We start from the raw sequence: 20,143 nt of genomic DNA on the forward strand, positions 1-20,143 counted from the left end.
CTCCCCAGGGTCTGGGGAGGTAAAACCTCATCCATAAGGTGCAGAATTTCCAAATCTGCAGCAGGAGAAGGGTGTGGAGTCTGAATGTGACTGCCCGAAGAGAGCAGGAACTCCAAGCAAAAAAATTACCTCAAAATTTAGACTGGAACTGCTGAAGCCTGCATGGACCAAAAGGAGCAAAAATGAGAACACTTCGAATGAGGAATTACCAAACCAGGACGGTGGAAACACCGCACACACGCACACACACTACAAAACGCACCTTGTTTTTCCCACTTTGGAAGTGAGGAAACAGTTGTTGCGGGAAGTCAGGGACCCCGAACGGAGGGACCGGCTGAAGCCAAGGCAGAAGAACGTGGATTGTGAAGATTTCGTGGACATTTATTAGTTCCCCAAAATTAATACTTTTGTAATTTCTTACGCCTGTCTTTACTGCAATCTCTGAACATAAATTGTGAAGATTTCATGGACACTTATCATTTCCCCAGTCAATACCCTTGTGATTTCCTATGCCTGTCATTACTTTAATCTCTTAATCCCGTCATCTTCGTAAACTGAGGAGGATGTATGTCACCTCAGGACCCTGTGATGATTGCGTTAACTGCACAAATTGTTTGTAGAGCATGTGTGTTTAAACAATATAAAATCTGGGCACCTTGAAAAAAGAACAGGATAACAGCAATGTTCAGGGAACAAGAGAGATAACCTTAAACTCTGACCACCGGTGAGCCAGGCGGAACAGAGCCATATTTCTCTTCTTTCAAAAGCAAATGGGAGAAATATCGCTGCATTCTTTTTCTCAGCAAGGAACATCCCTGAGAAAGAGAACGCATCCCTGAGGGTAGGCCTCTAAAATGGCCGCTTCAGGGGGTGGCCATCTTTTATGGTCGAAGCTGTAGGGATGAAATAAGCCCCAGTCTCCCATAGTGCTCCCAGGCTTATTAGGATGAGGAAATTCCCGCCTAATAAGCCTGGGAGCGCTATGGGAGACTGGGGCTTATTTCATCCCACATAGGAGTTACGTAAGTTACCCCCTGTCAAAGACCTATTTTGCAATAAAGCTGCCATTTGAACCCAGGCAGTTCTCTGGAGTCATCTTTAAAATACGATGCTTAAGTCCATTTCATCACTAAGTTGCTGCACCCACACAGCTGAATGACATACATGGCCCTGCCAACTGATGTCACTTTGCAGGGCAATTACAAATTTAATTTGAACCAAATGATAACGAAGGGTAATACATATCAAAAATTTGGAGAAACAGCTCTCATAGTACCCAAAGAGAAATATTTAGCCTTACATGCATGTATGAGAAAAAATTTAAAATTAGTAAGCCAAGAGTCCAACATAAGCTTGCAAATCCTGAGAAAGGAAGAGGAAGGTGATGCGGATGGAATGTCTGCGTGCCTCTGTTGACTGTGATTATGAGACCTCGGTTCTTTTCTTTTTCGTTAAAAGAATGTAAACCAGAGACACACATCAAAGGAGGTGCAGCACAGAGCCACTGATTGCAGGGGAGAAAGCATACTCTGAGCGTTAGGTGCAAACAAGGAAGTAACACTCTGGAGAGCATTTGGAGCAGGCTCCTCATGAGGACAAGACAGCATTGACAGTTACTGGGCCCCTTTATGGAAGTCTTACCTGATTGTTCAAAAGGAATGGGAAGAGGTGTTGCTAGGAAGCATGCTCTGTGCAGTTCCCTGGGCACACCTGTGCAGTAGCTGTACATGCTTGTTCATAAGTCACATGTCTTATTAACAACTGAAATCTCCACCCAGGGGTGTGTAGTTTACTATTATAGTGAGCAAAGGGTCAGTCTGAGGACAGGCAAAATCAAAATGCACATGCTGTCTACAGGAGAAATTCCCTACTGGAGACAGCTTTGCTTGAGTGAGTTTGACTACAGTGCGAATGCCAGGGCTTTTTTGTTGGTGGTGCGGTCACCATGGTTGCCACATCTCAAGGACATGGTTATTTCCTTGACTACCTATGCTGCCTTACCTCCAAAACTCATATGTTGAAGTCCTAACCTCCAGTGTGGCTATATTTGGAGACTGGGCTTCGAGGGAAATAATTAAGGTTAAATGAGGCTATAAGGGTGGGGCCCTGATCCCATAGAATTAGTGTCCTTATAAGAAGAGACACTCTCCCTTTCTCTCTCCCTTTTTCTCTCTCCCTCTCCCTCCTTCTTTGTCTCTCTGTCCCTCTCTCTCTCTCTCTCCTTCTTTCTCTCACTCTCCCTCCCACTCCTCCCACCGAGCCCTGAGGAAAGGCCACATGAGGACACAGAAGATGACTGTCTGCAACCCAAGGAGAGAGCCCTCACCAGAACCTGACCATGTGCCACCTTGGTCTTGGACTTCCAGCCTCCATAACTGTGAGCAATAAATGTCTGTTATGCCACCCAGTCTACACTACGTTGTTATGTCAGCCTGAGCCAACTAATAGAGATGGAATTAAAGATAAAAGCAGAATAAGGAAAATAATGATGATAAGGAAAATAATGAGATTAGATGACATGTTTTATAACACATGGCCTTCATAAATACTTGGGCCATTTTAATCTATGATAACTTTGGGTATTTACAAGATGGGTCATCTTTGAACTATTTTTCTTCTTCAAAATTGCCTTTGCTATTCTTGGCCCTTTTTATTTTCATATAGATTTTATCATGAGTGTATCAATTTCCAAAAAATATTGCTGAGATTTTGGTTGGAATTGCATTGAATCTACAGATGTTCTTGGAAATAATGACATTTTTACAATAACATGACACCTCGTTCATGGGCACAGCAAGTCTGTCCATAGATGAAGCTCTTCTTTCCTTTATTTCTATCATGTTTTCTAATTTTCAGCACAGAGATCGCCTCATTTTTCACTACAGTTATGCATGGAAATTTCCTATCTGTGATGCATTTATTAAAATTTTATTTCCAGTTGTTTAATGACCATATATAGAAAGGCAGTTATTATTAACCTTGTATCCTGCAAAATTTTATTTCCAGTTGTTTAATGACCATATATAGAAAGGCAGTTATTATTAACCTTGTATCCTGCAAAATTTTATTTCCAGTTTTCCTTGTTTAATGACCATGTATAGAAAGGCAGTTATTAACCTTGTATCCTGCAACCTTGAAAACTTTACCTATGAATTCTAAGACTTTACCTGTAGATTCTTTCGGATTTTCTATCAACAATATTTAATATCTGAACACATTAAATCTGATATCTGAACTATTTTCCATTTGCTGACTGATTTCCTCAGTTGCATTCCTGACTCTGTTTTTAAAAAGAGTATTAAGAAATTATGCTTCCAGGAGCCATCCATTAGATGAGAGGATGCCAGAATTCTTCCGTGACTGCCCCATCTGCAGCTTGGCTGAGCTAAGTACCCTCCCTTCATGCTTGGACAGCACACCGTGTCTATATCTATCCTCCTGAAATGAGCTGTGTATGAGGATCATCTTGTCCTTGTCTTTCCCTTCTCCTGAAGACAAGGCCCATTCTCTTCAATTTTATATCCTTAATGCCTCCTGGAAGATAATAAGCTCTCAATAAATATCTATGGAACTGAAGAGCTAAACTAAATTATTAGCGTCCATGATGGCCAAGGGTTTCACTCTGTGCTCTTATTCAATCCTCATGAAATCTATGAGGTAAGAAGAGCAGACATAATTAATAACCAGGTTACAGGAAGCTACAGGTCAAAATAGTAATTAAGTGGGAATTGTCCACAGCGATAAACCTGGTCCACAGCAGACCTGGGGCCAGGAACTCATGCTCTTTCCCTTCCCCTTTTGCTGTTTCCAGACAAAAATGAAAATGCTGAGAGTGTGGCTCTGGGTCAGACTTTTTATACTATGCACATAAAAAGCAAATACTTTGGTAGAGGTCATTTATTGATTTATGTGTTTGTTCTAGCATCCAAGGCTTCAGGAACCAAAGGGCCATCATGTTTTTGTAGCAGGCAAGAGAGTCTCCTACAGTATTTAAACTGATCATTACGGAGCTACGTGGCTCAAATCTACAGATCATTATATTCATGATGGGATGTTATGGACTGAATCGAGTTCTCCCTCTCTCAAAATTAATATGCTGAAGTCCCAGCCCCTGCAATGTGACTGTATTTGAACATAAGGTCTTTAAAGAGGTGATTAAGTCAAACTGAGGTCATTAGGTGGGGGCCTAATCCAATCTGCCTGGTGTCCTCATAAGAAGAGGAGATTCAAACACAGACACACAGAGGGATGACCCTGTGAGGACACAGGGCAAAGATGCTTCTACAAGCCACGCAGAGAGGCCCCAGCAGAAACTAACCCTGCTGACACCTTGATCTTGGACTTCCAGCCTCCAGAGCTATGAGAAAAAATTTCTGTGGCTTCGGCCTCATACAGTCTGTGATCTTTGCCACAGAAGCCCTGAGACACAGGTGGCACTGTCAGATGAAGTCCTCTTCCATGTGTGGATACCTACTGGGCTTGTCTCTCCTCCTTTCCTGTGCTCCCCCTTCACATCTAGGCACGTAGGGAAAAAGGAGGACAGCTCTTCCCACTCACATCTGACCTCCCTGCAGCACCTGACATCAGACCCTTTCCCCACCCTCATCCCCAAGACATACCCATCCTCCACATGGGTATAACCTCCCACATGAGCACCTCACATGTGAACAGAGGATGAGCCAAGGGAGAGGAGAGACGAGGAGGAGTGTTGCTCATGGGAAGAACAAATGGAACACTGTCTGCAGGACTCACCATGTCCATGCAGAGGATACAGCCATTGCACTGTCAACCCCTATCGGCTCCCAGGCTGGGTGGACCTCACGCTGTGGACAGCAGCCAGGGGAGAGGGCAAAATCAGACAACAGGATTCCCTGATTGTTCTGACATCAGGCCAACCCACTGAAGGCATGGGAGAGCAAGGTCTTGCCCTGCCTTCTCTCAACTCATGTGTCATTATGCTTCCATAATGCTTCAATTCATGTGTCATGAATTGAGAGACACCCATCATGAGACACCCCTTCTGCCTTTCTCCTCTACTGCAATGGCAGCACTAGAAGAGAAAGGAAGAATGGGTATGCAACTTAGGCTGAGTCCAATGCGTCCTTTGACCTGTCACTGGAGGAGCAACAGGCTGCCTGTGCCCAACAAGTTTGCATACATTGGGCTTGGATTTATATATTTATGCAAAACTCTAAATGTTTATAAGTATTTAAGCTCATACAAAAAAATCCTCAGTCCTTCATTTCTTCTCTTGACTTGACCAAGGTTCCCCCCAGTACCTCCTTCGGGACAGTCTTATGGTATTCTTTTGTTTTTCGTTTTTGTTTTTTTTGAGATGGAGTCTCGCTCTGTCGCCCAGGCTGGAGTGCAGTGGCACGATGTTGGCTCATTGCAACCTCCACCTCCCAGGTTCAAGCAATTCTCCTGCCTCAGCCTCCCGAGTAGCTAGGACTACAGGCGCCCACCACCACGCCTGGCTAATTTTTTGTATTTTTAGTAGAGATGCTGTTTCACCGTGTTAGCTAGGATGGTCTCGATCTCCCGACCTTGTGATCCACCTGCCTCAGCCTCCCAAAGTGCTGGGATTACAGGCATAAGCCCACACTCGGCCTATGGTGTTAATTCTGGGATCAAATTAGGCTCAAGCTGGGTGCAGTGGCCCACGTTTGTAATCTCAGCAGTTTGGGAGGCCAAGGCGGGCAGATCACCTGAGGTCAGAAGTTCAAGACCAGCCTGGCCAACATGGTGAAACCCTGCTTTTACCAAAAAATACAAAAATTAGCTGGGCACAGTGGTGCACACCTGTAGTCCCAGCTACTGGAGAGGCCGAGGAGGGAGAATCATTTGAACCTGGGAGGCAGAGGTTGCAGTGAGCCGAGATCGCACCACTGCACTCCAGCCTGTGTGACAGAGTGAGACCCTGTCTCAAAAAAAAAAAAAAAAAAAAAAAAAAATAGGCTCACATGTCTAGTTACTTCCAGTTTCACATCAATACACTTGTGGTTCTGAGCCACCTAGTAGTCTTTCTTTGGTGATAACACTACAGGCAGCTGGTTGTCTTCCAACTGTGTAAAAACCATATTTTGCTTCTGTAAGCCAAAGTACACAAGAGTCTCACATTTTATTCCTACTATGTCTTACCAGGTCCCTCAACAAGTGAAATCCAACAAACTCTGTCATTTAATTAATAGTATTTATCGATATTAATTTCTTAGTTTTGATTACTATATGATGGTTATATAAGATATTAATACTGGAGGAAGTTGAGGGAAGGGTATATTGGTAACTGCAGTATTTTGCAACTCTTTAAGTCTAAATCATCTCAAAGTTAAAAGTTTAAAAAAAAAATCAGGCTTTGGAATTGGTCTGGAAATGAGGATAAAGAAATATTAAAGTTGTTGCCTTCGTTTTCTGGTTCAGGGATTGAGGGATGGTGGTGCCACAGCCTTTAATAAGGAATCCTCTTTTAGGTAGGAAAATATTGGCACCTGTAACAAATAATCCTCAAAATTTAAACAGCTTAACAAGACAAAATTTTTATTTTTCTCTCAAACCACAATTCCAATGTGGATATTCTGTCATGACTGGCAATTGAGGGGTGGGTTCCAGGGCACTATGCCCCATGGCTGGCAATTGAGGGGCAAGCTAGGGGGTGCTATGCCCCATGGCTGGCAATTGAGGGGCGAGTTAGGGGGTGCTATGCCCCATGGCTGGCAATTGAGGGGCAAGCTAGGGGGTGCTATGCCCCATGGCTGGCAATTGAGGGGCAAGCTAGGGGGTGCTATGCCCCATGGCTGGCAATTGAGGGGCAAGCTAGGGGGTGCTATGCCCCATGGCTGGCAATTGAGGGGCGAGTTAGGGGGTGCTATGCCCCATGGCTGGCAATTGAGGGGCAAGCTAGGGGGTGCTATGCCCCATGGCTGGCAATTGAGGGGCGAGTTAGGGGGTGCTATGCCCCATGGCTGGCAATTGAGGGGCAAGCTAGGGGGTGCTATGCCCCATGGCTGGCAATTGAGGGGCAAGCTAGGGGGTGCTATGCCCCATGGCTGGCAATTGAGGGGTGAGTTAGGGGGTGCTATGCCCCATGGCTGGCAATTGAGGGGCAAGCTAGGGGGGTGCTATGCCCCATGACTGGCAATGGAGGGGTGGGTTGGGGAGAGCTACCCCACACACTGTTATTTCAAGACTCAAGCTAATGGAGGCTCTGCCATCATCAATGTGTGGCTTCTAAGGTTTCCCAGGGGGTCAACATCTACCTGGAAACTGGGAAAGAGTAAAAGGATTGCCCAAGACAATCCCATTTACAATAGCTACAAATAAAACAGAATACCTAGGAATATATTTAACCAAGGAGGTGAAAGATTGCTACAAGGAAAACTACCAAACACTGATGAAAGAAATTGCAGATGACACAAACAAATGGAAAAACATCCCATGCTCATGGATGTTAAGATTAATATTGTTAAAAAAACCATACTGCCCAAGCAATCTACAGATTCATTATAATCTCTATCAAAATACCAATGTCATTTTTCACAGACTTAGAAAAAAAAATCCTAAAAGTTATATAGAACCACCAAAGAACATGAACAGCCAAAGCAATCCTAAGCAAAAAGAACAAAGCTGGAGGCATTACATTACCTGACTTCAAATTATACTACAAGGCTATAGTTACCAAAACAGCATGGTACTGGTACAAAAACAGACACATAGATCAATGGAACAGAATAGAGAACTCAGAAATAAAGCTGTACATCTATAGCCAACTATTCACAAAGGCAACAAAAACATACACTGGGGAAAGAATACTCTTTTCAATAAATGGTGCTGGGAAAATCGGATTGTCATATGCAGAAAAAAGAAACTGGACCCCTATCTCTCACGACATACAAAAATCAACTCAAAGCCAGGCATGGTGCCTCACACTTGTAACCCCAGCACTTTGGGAGGTGGAGGCAGGCGGATCACTTGAGGTCAGGAGTTTGAGACCAGCCTGGCCAATACAGTGAAACCCCATCTCTACTAAAAAAAAATACAAAACTTAGCCAGGCATGGTGGTAGGCACCTGTAATCCCAGCTACTCGGGATGCAGAGGCAGGAGAATCATTTGAACTTGGGAGGCCGAGGTTGCAGTGAGCTGAGACAGCTGCCTCAAAACAAAAACAACAACAAAAAAAGTCAACTCAAGATGGATTAAAGACTTACATGTAAGACCTGAAACTAAAAATACTAGAAGAAAACCCAGGGAAAACTCTTCTACACATTGGTCTAGGAAAAGAATTCATGCCTAAGATCTCAAATGCAGAAACAACTAAAGCAAAAATAGACAAATGGGACTTAATTAAACTAAAAAGCTTCTGTACAGCAAAAGAAATCGTCAACAGAGTAAAGAGATAACCTGCAGAATGGTAGAAAATATTTGCAAACAATGCATCCAACCAGGGACTGATATCCAGAATTTACAAGGAATTCAAACAACTCAACAACAACAACAAAAATAAGCCCATTAAAAAAGTGAGCAAAGGCACCATCACTGGCCATCAGAGAAATGCAAATCAAAACCACAATGAGATACCATCTCACACCAGTTAGAATGGCGATCATTAAAAAGTCAGGAAACAACAGGTGCTGGAGAGGATGTAGAGAAATAGGAACACTTTTACACTGTTGGTGGGACTGTAAACTAGTTTAACCCTTGTGAAAGTCTGTGGCGATTCCTCAGGGATCTAGAACTAGAAACACCATTTGACCCAGCCATCCCATTACTGGGTATATACCCAAAGGACTATAAATCATGCTGCTATAAAGACACATGCACATGTATGTTTATTGTGGCACTATTCACAATAGTAAAGACTTGGAACCAACCCAAATGTCCAACAATGATAGACTGGATTAAGAAAATGTGGCACATATACACCATGGAATACTATGCAGCCATAAGAAATGATGAGTTCATGTCCTTTGTAGGGACACGGATGAAATTGGAAATCATCATTCTCAGCAAACTATCGCAAGAACAAAAAACCAAACACCACATATTCTCACTCATAGGTGGGAATTGAACAATGAGAACACATGGACACAGCAAGGGGAACATCACACTCTGGGGACTGTTGTGGGGTGTGGGTAGGGGGGAGGGATAGCTTTAGGAGATATACCTAATGCTAAATGACGAGTTAATGGGTGCAGCACACCAGCATGGCACATGTATACATATGTAACTAACCTGCACATTGTACACATGTACCCTAAAACTTAAAGTATAATAATAATAAAATAAAATAAAAGTGAGCAAAGGACAAAAATAGGCATTTTTCAAAAGAAGTTATACAAATGGCCAACTAGCATATGAAAAAATGCTCATCACTAATCAGAGAAATGTAAATTAAAATCACAATTAGATACCATCTTATACCAGTCAGAATGGCTGTTGCTTAAAAGACAAAAATAACAAATGTTGGCAAGGATATGGAAAAAAGAGAACACTTATACACTGTTGGTGAGGATGTAAATTAGTGCAGCCTCTATGGAAAACAGTATGGAGGCTGGGCGCGGTGGCTCATGCCTGTGATCCCAGAAATTTTGGAGGCCGAGGTGGGAGGATCGCTTGAGCCCAGGAGTTTGAGGCCAGCCTGGCCAACGTGGTGAAATCCCATTTCCACTAAAAATGCAAAAATTAGCCAGGCGTGGTGGCACACGCCTATAATCCCAGCTACTTGGGAGGCTGAGGCATGAAAATTGCTTGACCCTGGGAGGTGGAGGTTGCAGTGAGCCGAGATCATGCCATTGCACTCCAGCCTGGGCAACAGGGCAAGACTCTGTCTCAAAAAACAAAACGAAAACAGCATGGAGATTTCTCCAAGAACTAAAAGTAGAACCACCATTCAATCCAGTGATCCCACTACTGAGCGTCGATCCAAAGGAAAAGAAACCATATCAAAAAGTTACCTGCACTCGTATGTTTACAGCAGCATTATTCACAATAGCAAAGACGTGGAGTGAACCTAAGTATCCATCAACAGAGGAGAGGATTAGACAATGCGGTGTATATATATGGAGGTCATTATCTTAAGGAAAACAACTCAGAGGCCAAATACCACATGTTCTCACTCATATGTGGGAACTAGAGAAAGTGTCCACGTGGTAGCGAGAGTGCAATGATAGACACTGGAGCCTCGGAAGGGCGGGGGCAGGAGGGAGGTGGATGATTTAAACACGACTTAATGGCTTCTTTGTACACTATTTGGATGATGGTTCCACTAACAGCCCAGTCTTCACCACTATGCAATATATGCATGTACCAACACTGCACCTGTACACCACACATTTATACCATTTTTTAAAAAAAAAGATTGCCCAAGAGAAGTGTCCCTGGCCAGGCCAGCAGCAGCCCACATCACTCCCTCTCAGACCCCACTGGTGAGGACTCAGGTGGCCTCACCTAGCTGAAAGGGGCCCTGGGAAACGGAGCCTCGCTGTGTGCCCAGAAGAGGCTCTGAGCTCCGTGCCTGGCTGGGAAACTCCACCACCCCTTCTCATTATCTGTACACTTTAATAGCTACCAGGCCTTTCAAGGGAAGGGGCGTCACTTAGACAGCAGTTAAACAGTAAAAAGGAGCTCACTCTGGGCACTGAGACCTCACCTGTGCCCTTTGCCATCACAGGTCATTGTGAGCCAATCACTGAATCATTAGTGAGAAGTGGCCGGTTTCAAGTTCTCAGTCTGGGTCATGAGCGTTAAGAAGGAAGGACAACGCCAAATCATAACTGGTCAAATTGGGTTTGCCACTGTAGGTCCAGGAGTTAGGTGAGGACAGTGCAAAATGGCAAAGCCCCTGGGAAAGTGCCTGAGCAGCTCCGATATGGGAAAAGGGCATGGACGTCTTCGTGAGCCTCTAGAAAGCGCTACGCTTGGTGCTGTTAATAGGTGTTTTACCTACTGTTACCTCATTTCGTACTCATAACCGCCCCCCTCCATGAATATGCCCACACTAGGACTGAGGAATCTTAGGTTAGAAAAGTCCCAGAATCCTCAAAAGAACAAGACACAGTCCTTGCTTTCCAGGCCCCAACACTCGAGTGAAGGGGTTGCAGCTGACATGTGTGAGCTGGGCACATAAATCACAGGCCCGAGTGCCAAGGCCCCCACAGCCAGGTCCACTGGTGATGGTCACCCACTGCCTGACTGGTTTAACGAGCACTGAGACAACAACCCATTCCTGCAGAATTCTGGTAACTTTGCAATGGAGGCCTAAGCACTATGGCCAGCCTGTCCGGTCCACTCAATCCCTTCACAGCTGAGACCCCTGTGGTTCTCTGACCGGCGTCCACCTAAGGCTCGCCTGGCAGAGGCACCTGCTTTGGAGGACTCCTAAGAGGAGTGTCATACCATTTCTGAAAACCGCACCCCAGGACACCTCCTTACTGTCACATTTAACCTCTGATGGTAAACCCCCAAATTTGAAGAGCAAATACAACCCTAACTCTCTGCTTAGTTATTGGAAGTCCCTATTCAAAAAAAAACAAAAAAAAAAACAAAAAACCCTCTACCAAAAGGAGAAGAAACTCAGCACCCAATCTTAAATTTCTATACTGGCTCTTTCGCATTTCTCTGACACATGCCAGCTTAAACCCAAACTGAATGCAAAACTCACATTTTGCAAACTAAAACTACTGAAAAGATAACCTGCCCACCTCCTCCTCAGACAGGCCGCCTCCTTTCCCTTGGGTCTCTAGCCCATTTCTCCTCCTTTAGGATTCCTTTAGGCTTTGCATTCTCTTCCCAGGACCAAAAGAGTCCCCTGTAAACCTACTATCCTTTCTTTTCTGTTTTTTTCATAACTAGTGAGGGCACAAATGGTTAAAGCAACGCGCTGACAGGAAGCCAGCACCCAATTCAAGGACAGCCTCTTGCAAGGGCCTGGCCCACCCATCATCCCTGACTCTGAACAGTGCTCTCTGTTCAGCAGTGCTGATAGTGAAATTAATTATCTTCCAGCCCAGCCGAGAAGCTGGGGTTGCCACATGGATGTGTCTCCAGTCACTTACCACACAGGGACTTACTCATCACAAGTGCTAAGGGTCTTGAAAGGATGCACATTCCTGAGCAATATTTGTTCCTATGCTCATTTGATTTTGGAAAAACCAGGCTTCCCCCCCGGAAGAAAGGCAAGTGAGAGAAAGAAGAGCAAGCTTTTGCTAAAATAAATGGGAGGAAGAATCCAATTCAACTTTTCCTCGTTTCACGGTTTACTCTCTGCTTTCCATTAGGGAGTTGAAGAGGGACTGCCCCTTCACCTGTTTGTCTCTGTGACCTCAGACAAATCCAGTTGACGACGACAAAGCACCTTCTTTGTCCTTATCATCAGTTAATTTAAAGGGTGCATGTTTACTAACAGCTTAATCTATTTGGTGCAAACACTCTTTCACATTCTTTTCCTCCATCAAAAACAAAACCCCAAAACCTTCCAAAAACTCACATGGAAACTTCCCAAGTCTGAAGTCGGCCTGGATGGCAGCATCATAGCTACAGAAATCTTAGCCGCTCAACCATGTCTCAGTCGGTTCATGAGCCTTCCTTTCCCCGTGAAATGTCAGGACCAGAAGCTCGCATTTTGAGTGGCTAGTCTCAACTTTTACAACTCTGCACACTGCAAACACTGAAGTAGCAATGAGAGCTCCCTTTGACCCAAAGAAACTCCTTCCTCTGAGAATCAACCGAGAGGAAATCAACTTTTATGTTTCACACACACAAAAGTTGACAATAAACTTAATTAGACTTGGTATCTTAAATAAGCCAACAACTGCTGGTAACTTCACAAACAGAATGAACCAAGTTTACTTTCCTTGAGTTATTACCTAGCTGTATCAGGAAACATTTGTTTCTACCAAAGTAATCACTTGCATGGGAGTTTTAACATCAGTTGCAAGAGAAGTATGGCATAATTTTAATACTGTACTTGCTTGTATTTTATTTTAAATACAGAGTAATATTTCAAATTGAATTTAACTATAAAACTTCCATAAAATAAAAATGCATGATCTCATAAAATCAAATCAGTCTTTAATTGTAATAATAAAAATTACATTTAAGTAATGGTGTCTCTGAGTTAATAGCTCCATAAAATCGCCCCTGAAAAGCCAATCTTTGCTACCTGAGTGACTCTTTCTTTAACATTCTGCAATTAAAAGACAAAGTTCTGCCATGACTCACGATGTGTCTGCCGTGGAACTCCTATTGGGAGTGAATTTCCAACTGAGCTCGCCAGTGAGTAGTGAAGGGAATGTCGGAGCAAAGGCGCATTACCTGGGCCCAGAAGATTCCACTCTCCACGTTTTAACTACAAACCACAGAAAAAGGGCAACATGAAACCAGGAAACTTTTTAAGAAAATTCTAAAATAGCTCCCATCTAGAGATAAAGTAATTTTTTTTTCCAGTGCACACCAGGAATAACATTTCCCCAGTGTTATACACCATTACTACTCATTTGTGGATTGGGGGATTTATAAGGATGATGTCCATTTTTTTAATGCATCTTGAAGTAAGGCAAGAGGAGATTCCACCTTACAAATGCATTTTATTTCTAAGAAAGGCTTCGTCTGTTCCTTTACATCTTCCAGGTAACAGACATCAAGAAACACAGCACCGCGGACTTAGCACCCAGGCACACGTTCGCATGTTCCTATTTATTTCACATGTGCTGACCTCCTATCCTGATGAGGCCTCAGGTCCCCTGAAGACAGGGACTGTGTATTTTATCTTCCCCATGCATTTGCTCTAGGACTGGATCTTCAACACGTACAAGCGGGTGCGGGGAGCGAGGCCCTGAAAATCTTCACCAGCATCGACGCAACAGGCCAAAGCCAAGCTGGTCTTCAGCATCAGCCTCCAAAGGCCCCCCCTCGTCTCCCCAGCCTTCGCCTCCTCCCACGTTCCCTCCACCAATGCACCGGGGCTTCCTCAGCCTGGAAGTCGCCTGCGGACTTATGACTCACACAGAATTAGGAATCCAGTCCCATCAGGCAATTCCCAGCTCTCCAAGCCCATGCGATGCCTGTGGATGGGGCAGCTGCTGAGCTCCCTAGGGCTGCGGCCACACACTCTCGTCTGCCAGAAACCTGCTTTAATCTCAGGGTTGTCCACCTACACACAAGCCTGATTCTAGTAAGTCCCTGACAAGGAACCTCTGTTAACTTCCTTCACCTGCAGAATAAAGTGGACCCGCCAAAGCCTCCCCAAGGTCTATTGCTTCCTGTTCCTCTCCTCTCACTCTCCCTCTTCCTAGCCTTCCCCTTGGCCTCATGTAGAAGATTTTTTCCTACTTTGAAATAAGTGACTTAGGCCAGAGAGTGCCACGGCTTCTGAGTTACTCTCTACCCTCACCCCGGCCACCAGCGCTGGAGCCACAGCCCTGCATCTGAGCTCTGTGGCCGAATGCACAGCCACCTGGCCAAGACTGCCGGCCACACACCCCAGCCTCCATCACCCGCACCCACACTGGCAGAGGCTGCCCACGAGCAGGCCCCTGGGGCTTCCAAGACTAGGACTGTGAGGGATCATTTTACTCATAAACAGGACAGGATAATACTTGTATTTTTAAAAGTGTTTTACGCACTGCGTGAAGAAAGGCTGGGCAAGCGTGGGTGGTGGGCAGGCTGCCATTTCCATGAGACCAGAGCTCGAGGCTTCGTCGTTTAGCCTCTGTCCTTCCACACAGTGCAGGCAGCAGGCAGTGAGGACAGGTCCCTGGATGAGCAGGCAGGTGCACTGGGACTGCAGGGGACCCGGTGGGACATGATGCTGGTCACCTAGCCCATGGGCGGTGGAGAGAAAGGGGCAGATTCAGGACACATTCAAGAGAGAAAACCCGCAGGGTTCGAGTCATACATACGGTGGATTCAGTAAAGGGTATCAAGGATGAGGCCCAGGTGGCCCCCCTCCCCTGGCCACCACTTGAGCAGCTGGGTGGATGGGATGTGGATGCTAAACCAGGGGCCGCTGCAGAAGCCCCACGTCTAGGCCAGAGGGCTGTGGGCTCCACGCCAAGAGAACAGGAGACAAGTTGTGCAAAGGGAGGTGCCTCACCCACAGCCATGCGGCCTGGAGCCCAGCAGAGAGGTCCCCCTGGAGATATCATGCAGAGCAGATGACACTGGAGGCCAGGGGACGTGATGGGATCTCACCAGGAGGGCCTGAGAAGGGAAAGGCAGGTGGAATGGACAGCGCCTGCAAGGTGAGGCGCCCCTACAAGGTGAGGCACCCCTGCAAGGTGAGGCCCAAGCAGGAGAGTGGGGACCCCACGGCCAAGACTGCCAGAAGCAGAGGGAAGCCTGCTTTCCCTAAGCTCATGAACTCGTTTAAAAAGGAACGAGAAAATCTTTCTTATTCAGTTGTATTATCACTAGAATAATGAGTACTTTATCCTCTTTTTCTTGGAACTATTCCGTATTTTTGCTGCAATATTAGTTAAAATGGGTTTCTTACTTAACCTAAAAATTCAAATGTGGTTTATAGCTTGTCACAAGTAAACTACAGCATTTTTAAAAAATGATTTACAAAGGTACTTTGGGGAAGATATTCATGACTGAACAGAGACTTCATAAAACAAAACGAGTTGAAATCATTCAAGGAAAAGACAGAACTTCTCATCAGAAAGCATTTATAGCTAAGTCTAAGCCTAAAATTAAATAGTTAAAATTTCCAGCACTTCTGCTGTTGTATGAGGTTGATGACCGCCCTGCTACATTTGGCCAGTTGGGCCATTAGAAATGGAAAGGTACAAAAGTGCAGAACAAGCGTCTCGTGCACACTCGCCAGTGCTGGGTGCTGCTCAGGCCTGTGCTCTATCAAATGCAATTGGACTGCAAATATGTATGTATATATTTTTATAATGAATTTAATAAGTAGCCAACATCTCATAATATAGAATTTAACTGTCATTGTTTTCAGCTGGTTTTAACTGGGAGCCCTTAACTAAAGAATAAAAATTATTCTTATCTCTATAACTAGATAATTATAATCTACATAATTAATTATATCTCATTCATCTGCATGGAAGAAGACTTTCTCTTGCAGAAATCAATTTGCCTCTCCTCACACAGCACCCTCATCTCTCGGCTCCGGCAGCCAAGTCGCACCTGGGCTCAGCACCTGGGCACCTGCATACCACTCCTTGCCCACACCTGGACACCCCACTGCTAGCACCTGGACACGGCCCCCACCCCCCCCACACCTGCACACCACCCCACGCCCCGCCTGGGCACCACCCTACCTCCCACACCTGCGCACCACTCCATTGCTGGCACCTGGGCACCGCCCTGCCCCCCCCACCAGGGGACCACCCGGCCTCCCACACCTGGGCACCACTCCACTGCTGGCACCTGGGCACTGTCCTGTCCCCTTCACCAGGGGACCACCTGACCCCACACCTGGGCATCACCCCACCCCCCATCACCTGGCCACCACCCCACCCCCCTTCATCTGGGCACTGCCCTGGCACCCCTCAGCAAGGGACCACCCGGCACCCCACACCTGGGCACCATCCAAGCCCCCCTCACCTGGGCACCGCCCTGGCCCCCTACATCTGTGCACCTCCCCCCACTAACCTTGGCACCGTCCAGCCCCCCCCCTCAGCAGGGGACCGCCCAGCCCCCAACACCTGGGCACTGCCCCACTCCCCTCACCTGTCACCTCATCACCCAGCCCACGGTACCCTGCAGCTTGGCTCCAGGCCCACCTTCCAGGGCTCCCCTCGAAGCCTCCTGTCCGCTCAGCCCCAGGTGCGGCATCCGCAGGTCCCGTGGGTTCCACCTTCCCAGCGCCTCTGAGGCCTCGCGGCCGCTTCTCCCCGCGCCCACCCGCGCCCGAGCGAAGTCCCGCAGCGAAATCTCCGGGAGGCCGCGCCTCTCCTGTCCCAGCCCCGGGGTCTCCCGTCTCACCCCACGAAAAGGCAATCTGGGCCGTGACCTCCGAGGCCCCCAGATCCGCCCCCGAACGAGGCGGGCAGGGAGAGGACGCGTGGCCCCCACCCACTCAGCTCCCAGCGCGGAGTCCCGGGACCACCTTGCGGAGAAAAGTCCGCCCCGCACCTGCCACGGAGGAGAAGCTGGGGGTGGGGGACCCAGGAACTGCGGCTCGGCCCAGGCGGGGGACCTGGAAAAACCTCGCGCGGGGCGACTGGGGACGGCGGCGAGGAGGGAGGCTCCGCGGACGCGCGTGGGGCGGCCCGGGACAGCGGGAGCCAGGCAGAGGAGGCGGCGGCCCGGGGCATCCGAGCTCAAGCGCCGCTCCGCCGACGTGCATCCGGCCGGGCGCCTCCCCCTTTACTTGGCTTGCTCCCCCACGACCACCCTCGGCCCACCCTCCAACAACAGGGGCACCCCGCGCTCCCCCTGCGAGGCCACGCGAGCCCCGACCCCCCGCGCACCGGGCTGCAGACGGGAGACGGGCTCCAGCCTCAAGAGGCCCCAGACTTGCTGGAAAGGCAGATGTGTTTAAAAATGAAAAGAAAACCGGAACGGAAAGGTCTGTTCACTGGCAAAAGAAGTATTTACAAATCATTGTGGAAATATAGAGACCGAGGGGTAGAAAGCGGATGCCTCCTAAACCTGCGTGCGATCTTCTGAGGATAGGAGGACACCAGGCCCAGCCCCTGCAGCCCGGTGGGCTCCGCGGCGCCCCCACCCGCTTCCCCTCCAGGCCGTTCCTCCCACTGCGGCCGCAGCGTCCAGCCAGGCTCCTTCCTGGCCCTGAACACACGGTGACATTCCTGCCCACACGTCCACCCGAGGAGACTCTTTCTCAAGCCCCTGCCTGGGACCCATCCGCCCCTCTGACTTCCTGTCAAATGGACAGATGCTTAGTTATTCCTCGTTTTGTCGATGTTAAGTGAGTCTTTTTTTTTTTTTTTTTGAGATGGAGTCTCACTTTGTTACCCAGGCTGGAGTACAATGGCGCGATCTCGTCTCACTGCAACCTCCGACTCTCCGGTTCAAGCGATTCTCCTGCCTCAGCCTCCCTAGTAGCTGGGATTACAGGTGCCCGCCACCACGCACAGCTAATTTTTGTATTTTTAGTAGAGAGGGGGTTTCACCATGTTAGCCAAGCTGGTCCCGAACTCCTGACCTCAGGTGATCCGCCCGCCTCGGCCTCCAAAAGTGCTGGGATTACAGGCGTGAGCCACCGCACCCAGCCACGAGTCTTCTTAATTTAAACAATATGCCCCTTGAAGGTGTTGTGGAATCATTATTAGATCAGAAGATGAGTCGACTTCGTGCTGATCATAATCTACAACCTTGTCCAATTTACTTACTTTCTTCTCAATTTACTCTTCTACAAAGGAAGGGCGATGAGCCAAGTCATCTTAATTGTTCCCAAGGGGATTTTTATTCTGTTACATATTTTCCTCCTATCTGTATTACAGGAGGGCGAGCACTCACTACGTCCTTGCTTATTGGGGTTTTTTCCTCTTTAATATCTTACAACTAAGGCACACTGGAAGGTAGGAAAAGCCCTGGTCCATGCCAGGGGAGCTCTCCCAGGCTCCCAGCCCCCCAACAACATCTACAGAATTCTAGAGATAAGAGGCACCTAAGCGAGTCTTTATCTACCCTCCCCAGTGAGCAAACAGGAAAGCTGTCAAGAATTTCAGAACGCCCAGTTCTGCACAGCCCATTGTTTGAAACTGAACTCTGGACCAAAGTGCTTACAGTGAAGCCCAACATTTATGACATGATCTTAGCAGGGTCAGATGGCTCTGAGAATGGTTTTAGCTGGTGATTCTTTTCCTACTAAAGAAAATAGTATATCTGGAAAATTCTGTTTTTGGTTAATTCCTAAATAAACAGAACACTAGGAAGTAATTACTCTTGGCATAAATCTAGTGTTTAGAATTTTAGGATTTCTTCCCACAAAATGTCAAAGTTGGACTTAACACATGTCACATCATTGTCATTCCTTAAAATCAGAAACAATTTCAAATTGCTTCAGACTGACTTATCGGTGACAATAAACCAGAATTGAACATTTAAAATAAGTTTTATTTCATGGACTTCCTACAAGCTTAGCGTATGGAACAAGTGCTAAACACAAAACTATCTGTGAGTTCTGAATAAATATTTACCAATTCCACCACTACCACTTATTACCTCTCTGAACAAGTCTCTTAGACTCTCTAACTCTGGGCTGTTTGGCTTTTTTTTTCTTAACACAGAACGTGCTTCCCATTTTAAAAGGTAGAATGAGGATTAAATATGACGATTTATGCAAAATTACCTAAAATAATGCCTGGTGAGTAGTAAATGCTCAGTAAATATGTGTGCCTTTCTAGTATCCTTTCCAATATTAGGTTTGCCTTGTAAAACCGACCATTTTAATAGGAGCAATAGGGTTAAATAAAGTGAACTGTTGTGGAGATGAGTCCTAGCACACACCAAGAGAAAGTTCTAGCTCAGCATCCATCCAGTGCATGGGAGGAAAAGTAAACCTGACTCGATTTTTCAGTATTCTTATACTTAGAACATCAAAAACTAGATTCTAACCTAATCCCGATTTGAGGCATATGGATTACAGAAGACAAATTAAAGACAAAAACACATAAATAGTATTTATTCCCTTGCCCTAAGACTCCACAGCTACGTCTTGAGATTCCTCCTTAAATCTTCGCTGCATTAGAAGCTGGGGTGCTGAACTTGAACGGGCCCCGTGCTTAGAGATTGAGTCAGGAGCTGCATCTGTGCCTCCCGAGCACCTGGTGTGCGCCTTGCTGGGGAGCTACTTAGCCCCACTTCTGTTTCCGAATTCAGGAAGAAAAGTGGAGGAGCCGGCAGCAAGCAGGAGCCAGAGGGCAGGAGGCCCTGGAGCAAGAACGGGCAGCTGGTCAGAGGCCCAGCACGGCAGCCAGAACTTTCTTCTTTTGTCGCTGGCTAAGAAGAGAAAGACTACTTTGAAGTTCCCAATAGGTTTCAGGTACTACTTTTGGCTCCAGAGTATGAAGAGATGAATAGGAAAAAAAATCCCTTCCCTTAGGAAATTCAAGGTCTAGCAGAGACACAGGCACAAAGCCACCATCACGATTTCCTATCTGACGTGTTAGGACGACTTGCCTGTGTGGACAGGGAGTTACAGGTGCTGGGATGTCT

The 20,143-nt window shown here is 46.6% G+C and overlaps 1 long non-coding RNA gene across 2 annotated transcripts in view, besides 1 other annotated feature; it reads right to left on the reverse strand.

The window, feature by feature from the left end:
* Nucleotides 1-20,143, reverse strand: part of RNF32-DT (RNF32 divergent transcript) — a 168,437-nt gene that overhangs the window by 118,470 nt on the left and 29,824 nt on the right. Inside the window, exon 2 of one of the 2 annotated variants that reach the window (NR_026865.2) lies at nt 14,620-14,812. This is a non-coding gene — a long non-coding RNA (RNF32 divergent transcript). Of the gene's footprint in view, nt 1-12,482; nt 12,628-14,619; nt 14,813-20,143 lie in introns of those variants that run through there. The other variant, NR_103858.1, reaches the window with a different exon arrangement.
* Nucleotides 17,017-17,528: an enhancer, noted in NCBI's record as "H3K27ac-H3K4me1 hESC enhancer chr7:156400279-156400790 (GRCh37/hg19 assembly coordinates)". NCBI's record gives its function as "activates a minimal SCP1, AML or CMV promoter by ChIP-STARR-seq in naive H9 embryonic stem cells {active_cell/tissue: H9 hESC(naive)}" and the evidence as "EXISTENCE:reporter gene assay evidence [ECO:0000049][PMID:30033119]".

Source organism: Homo sapiens, chromosome 7 (assembly GCF_000001405.40).
Source record: "Homo sapiens chromosome 7, GRCh38.p14 Primary Assembly".
Lineage (NCBI taxonomy): Eukaryota > Metazoa > Chordata > Mammalia > Primates > Hominidae > Homo > Homo sapiens.